At 37.2% G+C, this 6000-nt stretch overlaps 1 annotated feature.

Moving 5' to 3' along the window:
* Nucleotides 398-648: a silencer, noted in NCBI's record as "fragment chr3:59044085-59044335 (GRCh37/hg19 assembly coordinates)". NCBI's record gives its function as "represses an EF-1alpha promoter that drives an FKBP-Casp9 reporter gene in an ReSE screen in HepG2 liver carcinoma cells {active_cell/tissue: HepG2}" and the evidence as "EXISTENCE:reporter gene assay evidence [ECO:0000049][PMID:32094911]".

The following is a 6000-nucleotide window of genomic DNA, read 5'->3' as shown; positions in this document are numbered from 1 at the left end:
ACTTGTAGGAAAGGGTGTGAAGGGGATGAGGGATAAAAGACTACACATTGGGTATAGTGTATGCTGCTTAGGTGATGGGCATACCAAAATCTCAGAAATCACCACTAAAGAACTTATCCATGTAACCAAACACCACCTGTTTCCCAAAAACCTATTGAAATAAGAAATAATAATAATGGTTATTATTCATATGTGTTCTGAAAAGGTGTTCTGAATGTGTTTGTATGCATTAGGCACACACTATCAGCACACATGCAGAAGTCTGTGTGAATGGCAAGAAAATATCCTTTCCATTAACTTATCAGAAACACAAAAAATATCAGACATCAGAAGACCTTGCAAGATGAACATCCTGGATTCCCTTCTACTGCCTTTTTCCCACTTCGCATTTATCTTGTCTTCCCTCTTCTTTGTAGCTTTTTCTATCCCTCTGAACTCCCTCCTGGGTTCCAGTTCCATCCTAGAAGCATAGCTGAAGGAGAATTCTAAGTTTCACCTGTCTCTCTATCCTAGTGGTCATGGTAGGTCCTTACCCTGGGCCCTGGGGTAAGAGGTGGGTGAGGTGGGGTTGAGAAGTCCTTCGGGTTCTTCACACTGGAACTTCTATGAGATGAATAGACTTTTCTCTACATATTATTGACTGTGTTCCATAGCTTAACGGCATTTAATATGCTAAACAAAATATCTGCCTCCTGTGGGGTGAGAAAGGGGAAAAGAGAGAAGGAAATCCCATTCTTCTGCACATATTCTTGGTGGTGAAATATAAGCTAGTACTAGGGCACTTGAGTGGAGGTGGAACTCAGATGCTTTTGGACAGTTGAGTTAGACAACTTCCCTCTCTATGTGGTCTAATTTGAACTAAGATTAGATATTTTAGGGGACTGGTGTGAATTTCTTCATACACATAACCTATTTGCATCTGGTGGTTTTATTGAGGGCCAAGAGCCTCCCAGGAGAAAAATATTTAAACTCTGTTGACATATGTATGCCTACCTGACAGAGCTATGCCTAACTGACAGAAAATTGGGGAAATCAGATTTTAGGAGGGGCTTCAGAAAAGAATTCACCATTAGGAAAGAATATACAATGAGTTAGATGAGTAACAGGACCTGAAATGATAAGGAAATATTGGTATGGGTAGGGCAAATAGTCAAACTTGTCCCAACCCAACCAACCTCATGGAATAGGCCTGTGAGTGTGTGTGTGTGTATGTATGTATGTATGTGTGAATTTTTTAAATTACAGAACTTTGGGACCCAGTCAGCTTCGCTGTGGGGACTTCCCCACCCCAAACACCTTATCTTACCTGGAAAAGACATCTTTCTCTTGGTAAATGAAAGAAGATACACATCGAAAAATCAGTATGGACAATGATGGTGGTAGGCAGTGTAAGTGGTACTCAGGGCGACAGTGTAGATCACTTTATTTAAATAGTTCCAATTGGGGTCTGGGCTTCAGAGTTAGGTCTGGACTAGCTGCATCATTTGAGTGCAATAGCTTTATTGCTAACCACTGAATACTGGGGCTCAAATAATTTTGCAGAAAAGACTTTTCTTCTTCCTGGCAACTGAGTGAAATTCACAATAACCATTCAGTTTGCTTCCTAAGAATAAAAACACAAAATTCTAGATTTACTGGTGTTAATGCCCCCCAGCCAAAGAACATCAGGGATATATCAGTAGTTGAAGAAGCTGGGTTCATTACTCATTGCAACAAGGAAGAAAATACACCATTGGGGAACCTTGGGTATGCTAGTAAGAGGATGTTAGAACTTACTATAGGATTTGGGCTTATGTTAGCTGATTTAGGGGAGGGTTTAGGGAAGTAGAGCTTTGCTCTGGATTGGATCCTGTCAGGAACCAAGAGTATTTCAATGATTGGGAATATTAATAAATCTTATATATAAGACAGGAAGAATGAAGTAAGGCTTAGCTATAATTGGTAAAGAAGCAGCAGTCACTCATATTAACCACGATAGGGAAATGTTTAGTCATCTTTTTGATTTGGACCATATTCATGTTTTTATCTTGATTCATCATGGTCACAGAGTGGTTTTGTATGATGTTGATATTCTGTGAAACTGTTGGTGTTCAGTAACAATAGCAACAACAAAACACCAAAACCTAGCTGTGAGTGTCAGGCCAGCTTCCAGATGTCTTTGCTTCACTGGTGACATTAGCGAAAGCAGTTACATTCTAATTTCAACAACTTCAAACATGGCAGGTATTCTTTGGCAATAGTGGTAACAATGGCAACTAAGTGGAATCCCTCATAAAAATGTTTGGTCTGAGAAAAAAATGCAGTTAAGTAATCACTTCTGAAGTGATTCCTGGCTACTTAGTATCCTCTTAAAGATCCTGGAAATACACAGGCATCCAATAACATTGGATTTCCTGTTACTAAGCAGGTAAGAGCTTAAAAAATCCAGGCTTGAATATTAAGAGTTAATGAGGCTGGGCGCGGTGGCTCATGCCTGTAATCCCAGCACTTTGGGAGGCTGAGGTGGGCAGATCACGAGGTCAGGAGATCGAGACCATCCTGGCTAACACGGTGAAAACCCGTCGCTACTAAATATACAAAAAATTAGCCAGGCGTAGTGGCGGGCGTCTGTATTCCCAGCTACTCGGGAGGCTGAGGCAGGAGAATGGCGTGAACCCAGGGGGTGGAGCTTGCAGTGAGCCGAGATCGCTGCACTGCACTCCAGCCTGGGCGACAGAGCCACACTCCGTCTCAAAAAAAAAAAAAAAAAAGGAGTTAATGTAAATCCTGGGATAATGAAAAGGGCCTATGATATTTGAATTACACATATGTACATCAAATCATTTAAAGAATGTTAGCGAACCTTTCTTTCATATTAAATTATTCATGTATAGTTAGAGTTTTTAAAAAATATGTCTGGTGTCTGTTATTTGTAAAAAAAAAAAAAAAATCATTATAGTAGATATCTCCTTTTGGCTGCCCAATATCCATCTTCCTCCTTCCCTAGAAGAGGACCCAGAGTTTCCTTTGGGAAACAATCCTTCCCCATTCCTAGTTACATGTTTGGGTGGTACCCCATTCCCAGCCAATCAATATATCTCATCTCCTTGTTTGCCGGGACTGGTTTAAGAATAAGCACTTAATCTAGCCTTAAGCTTATTTATCTGACCAAAGTGTTTATTTCAGAGATAGGCATATCCCCTGAACTGATCCAAATGAAGGTAAACTTCAGGACTTTAGCCCCAAATGCTCTATTTAGCGATATCAGAATGTAAAATTGAGAATGCTATAGCCATTTTGTAAACCTAAAGAGAGCCAGCCTAACGACTGAGGCAACCTAGAGGAAGCAGTGTGGAGAAAGGAAACCTGATGATGTTTCTGACCTCTAGATGCAGCTGGATCTACTCTAGGTTGTTAAGAAATCAATGCCAAGTCCAATGTCATTAAGTTTTCCCCTTATGTTTTCTTATAAGAGTTTTATAATTTTAGGTCTTATGTCTTTGATTCATTTTGAGTTAATTCATGTATATACATTTAAAAAGTAAAGCAAGAGTCCAATTTCATTCTTTCTCATGTAAACATCTAGTTTTCTACAGCCCTTTTATCACAAATCAACACTAACTGGCTTTAGGTTAGAGAAAGTTATCCAAGAAAAACTTGCTACTTAGATCTAACTTGTCTGTTAAAAACCTTGATCATTTATGTCATTGTAAAACAAATTAATACTAAATATCCACTCAATAAATGTATTCCTTTCAAAGATGCATTTGGCAAACGGTCGTTTTTCTAAACCTAAGTGCTTGCTATGTAAAGCTACTTTATTTAGGAAAGTATTCATACCTAATTATCAAACTACTGGGATAGTTTTTTTGTTTTGTCTTGTTTTCCTGAGAAAGCTTTCAAGTGGTTTTGGAAATTTTAAAATGATGCATGACTTTTGAAGTACTTGGTCATCTATAGGTACAGGCAAGAAATAGTCCCCATAGGATCTCATGGACCTGAGAAGGGGGAAAAACCCATTTGAGGAGAAAATCTAAAAACAGTAAAGCCCTCAAAAACTTTCACCATTCCATACTTTCTGGAAAAAAGAAGACACTACTATTTTCAAATCACCTGTCAAATGAATAACTTTGGTATCATTAATTTTTCTTGCTTAAAACTATAAAATAGGCCCAGTTTCAAAACTTTCCTATCAACTCAACATTATCATTCATAAAGCTATTCCATAATGTATAAAAAATTAACCCTTCAAGTATTAAACATTTCTAGATTACTGTGTAGCAAATTCTCATGAAACAGATATCTTATTTCTTCCCATTAGCCAAATAATTAGATTATGTACTGTAATCAAAATATAAACTACAACAATATTGTGGTAAATACAGTACATTCTTAGTTCAAAAGATATTATTTCTCGTCAAATTGATAATCATACTCATCTAAGTGGAATGGCTATATTGGCATACGAAGACTGCCACTCTTTAAAAACTGTTTCTAGTCTATTCCATTTTAAATACTATCCAATATCCTTTAATATTAATATACCAACAAATTATTTTTTTCAATCACTTTCTTTGTAGAACAAAGACAAGCACTTTACAGCTTGTAAAGTGACTAATCTTAAAGTTATCAAATTAAGTTAAGCAATTTAACGCAATTACTAAATGTACCAACTTCTTAAAAAATTGTAGCAATTAAAGAAATTGTTTCACTGTCTTTTATAGGGAACATAAATAACTTGGTTTATCTTTTATAATGAACATAAATAACTTGGTTTAAGCCAAGTTGTTTGGGCAGGCTGGCTTTTTTCTTTTTTTTTCTTTTTTTCAGAATTCTGCTAGATATCCTTGAAGTCATAGTCAAATCCAAGTTTTTGTTCATAGCTTGCATTCAATCAAATTGAAGAGTACTTGCTATTGTAAAGTTGGATTTCCACCTTTCTCTGATTTTGAATTCATACTGTTAAAGTACTGCACATTCTTATTTTTGTTTTATTGCTACCATTGTCATTGTTAATGGTGGCTCTCACCATAGGCAAAATACCATTGATAAACTTGGGCAGCTTTCAGATTTGCCCATTTCCTGGACAAGCAGTATATCATACTTGCTAATGAAAATCCAACTCTGAGTCTCCTGAACTTGTTAGAAATTAGGACGGTCAGATGACAATGTTTGGCTTTGGACTATTACTTTCTCTTTAGGAAGTGAGGACACTGAAATAAATGGACACTGTTTCCTTCTAGTCTTAAGTTGAATAAACAGGTGATCAAAACCAAAAACACCTGAGTAATAAGACTTACTGATTCACTGTAATTATTCATTTTCAATTCTGTAGCTCATTTTTTCATTGACAAATTGAGGTTATTAATTCACCCTTTTAGTTGTAGATAAATGATAAACATATTAACTCATGTAATCATAAGAGGAAGAAAAAAATAAAGTAGGGCAAAGTTGTGGATTTCACTTCAACTATGGTGTCAAAAGACCCTTTTCAGAGACCCAAGTAGATTGTTAGAAGCCTTAAGATGTCCCCTAGATTCTTCCCAGATTTTCATTATACCTTTTGCCATCCTTATTATTAACAGCTGCCCAAAGAAGATATTCACATCAACCCCCGGAGCATGTAAATGTTTCCTTATTTGGAAAAATTGGTCTTTGGAGATGTGATTAAATTATCTTGAAATAAAGAGATTGCCTTGGATTATCAAAGTTGGCCCTAAATACTATTACAACCTCTTTATAAGAGACACACAGGGAAAACACACACAGAAGAGAAGACAATGTGACCACGGAGGTGAGACAGAGACTGGAGAAATGGAGCCACAATTCAAGGGGTGCCAACAGCTGCCAAAAGCTGATGAGGCAAAGAATGGATTCTCCTCTAAAGCCACTAGAGGAGTGTGGCCCTACTGACACTTTGATTTTGGACTTCTGGCCTCCAAATGAAGCCACAATTCAAGGGGTGCCAACAGCTACCAGAAGCTGGATGAGGCAAAGAATGGATCCTCCTCTAAAGCCACT

The sequence above is a fragment of the Homo sapiens genome, chromosome 3, assembly GCF_000001405.40.
Source record: "Homo sapiens chromosome 3, GRCh38.p14 Primary Assembly".
Lineage (NCBI taxonomy): Eukaryota > Metazoa > Chordata > Mammalia > Primates > Hominidae > Homo > Homo sapiens.
The sequence above is the reverse complement of the archived record's forward strand: the minus strand, read 5'-3'. Positions and strand labels throughout refer to the sequence as shown.